Source organism: Homo sapiens, chromosome 9 (assembly GCF_000001405.40).
Source record: "Homo sapiens chromosome 9, GRCh38.p14 Primary Assembly".
Classification (NCBI taxonomy): Eukaryota; Metazoa; Chordata; class Mammalia; order Primates; family Hominidae; genus Homo; species Homo sapiens.
In genome coordinates, this window is record NC_000009.12 from 27,887,862 (window position 1) to 27,890,009 (window position 2,148).

The window sequence follows — 2,148 nt, forward strand, 5'->3', positions numbered from 1 at the left end:
ACTAGAGCTCAGTATTTTGTAACAGGAGGAATCTGCCACTCCTTTTTTTTTCTTTTCTGTCCTTTCCATTCAGACCTACGTCTCCACCCAGATGTTCTTCCCTCCTCTGCCTGTGATATTCTACTATATATATATATATATATATATATATATATATATCTCCTTGTTTTTCAAAATGGAACTTTTGGAGATAAGCACTAGGGAAGGATGTAGATTACATACTTTTGGTTACTGTAAAGAATAAAAAAAGGAATAAAATTAACATGTATTGAGTCTACATTTATCCCATCACTCTTCTCAATCATTTACATATATCATCTCATTAATCTTCCTGTCCACTATATTATGTATTATCTTCATATTATTAATGAGGAAATTGAGGCTGGGGAGGTTTGATTCCAAAACCTATTTCTTCTATTATACTCAATTGCCTCTAAAATAGTTTATAATTGAATAATATTTGGAAATGAGAAGAAATAAAACTCTCAGAGCCCTAAGAAAAAAATACTTTTAACGGCAGACAAAAGTTAGTGATGTTAGCAACTAGGAAGAACAATAATAGTAATATAACGCAAAAGATAAAATATTAAATAACTAACCTGTATGAAATTCATTTATAGATTAACTAGGGTTCTGTAATGTAAACAAGAGTCAACGGTGGTGTTTGATCAAATGCAGATTCCTTGACCTGACTCCAGACCTCCTGAATCAGAAACTATTGGGATGGGCCACTGATAATGATGGTCCACATGGTATCTTTAAAAGACACAAGAATCAAGGAAAAAAAAAATGAAATGAAAGCATACCAGGTTAAAAAGGTGAAATTAATTTTCAATTTCTTCATCAAATGTTGAATCAACCAATGGAACCACTGATGCCCTTCTGCTCAGGCTATGCTTGGTGCACTGACAATTTTAGTGTGGTCTTGTGGTGAGAGATCAAGAAGTTCCGACTCATCTTTCCACCATCAAAGCTGCATTAGACCACATGGCCACCTGGCTCCAGGCCTCTGCTGCCTCTCCTGGCCAAGTGCAGTACTGCGCACACCTTGACCAGGTGACTGGAAGCTGTTGGTCCAGCTCAGCTGCAGGAACTTTGAAGAAGAGAACTAAGGTGATAAAGCCAAGATAAACTTTCATTTTGTTTTGGAAAGAGAAGAAGAAGGGAGTAAGCAAGAGGCTTACTGTTTGGAGCTGGCAGTGTAATATAAAAATATGGTGAAATGGAGGCCATGTCCCTCAAATCCTAAACCTCTTTTATTCCCCCATTAAAAATGCACTACAGATTATAGGCTGCATAACCAATATTATTATAGAAGTAGAGTAGAACAGGGCCACCCCAAAGGTTTTAACTTTCCTGATCAATATTTAATAACTTAAGAGCACTGATGGAACTTTTAGGAGAGATTCCTGAACAATACTGTCAATCCAGAGAATATAGGTGAAAAACAGGAGAGGCATCAGAAGTAGAGATGGGATCATGTCTTCCTGGTTTTCCAAAAAAGAAACATAGTCGATATTGCAATATGACCCAGTAACATTGATTGGTTCCCTAGAAAAAAATTTTAATGCGGTTTCTTCATTTAAATTGTTTCAAATCTACTTAAAAAGAAATAATCACAAACACCATTTTGTCAGGAATAAATGAGGTCAGATATAAGTTTACTTCTTTCTTTTGTAGGCCTACTAAATTAGTAGTTCCAAAGGAACGTAGATCTAGGTATCTCATATGCACCACTGCATTTGAATTAAAGTCTCTAAAGCCACAGGCCACAAAAGTTTTCTTCTCGGTTTACTTAATTCCCTAATCCTTCATCCATCTTCAGTTAGCTCAGGAGTTGCAATGATGACAAAAGTAGACTGTTCACAGGACAAGTGATCATTGCGTCCTTTTTAGGATGCTTGTCTATCAAGACAGACAGAGAAGGGTCGGTCAGTGGTGACATAATTATAAAATCAATAGTTCTGACATCTTGGTAAGAGAGGTGCATGAGGCCATCCTTACATTAGACTAACCTGACAGGTTGTTGTTTTACAATATTTTTTCCACTTCTATATGCTTAACTTATTAACCATTGTTTCTATTCTTAAAAATAAAACTAATAAATATACATACTTTAAAACATTCACAAAGTTCATAGAGCTATAA

General features: G+C 35.5%; 1 annotated feature.

Moving 5' to 3' along the window:
* Positions 1,067–1,116: an enhancer, noted in NCBI's record as "active region_28255". NCBI's record gives its function as "activates an Ori minimal core promoter by ATAC-STARR-seq in GM12878 lymphoblastoid cells {active_cell/tissue: GM12878}" and the evidence as "EXISTENCE:reporter gene assay evidence [ECO:0000049][PMID:35858748]".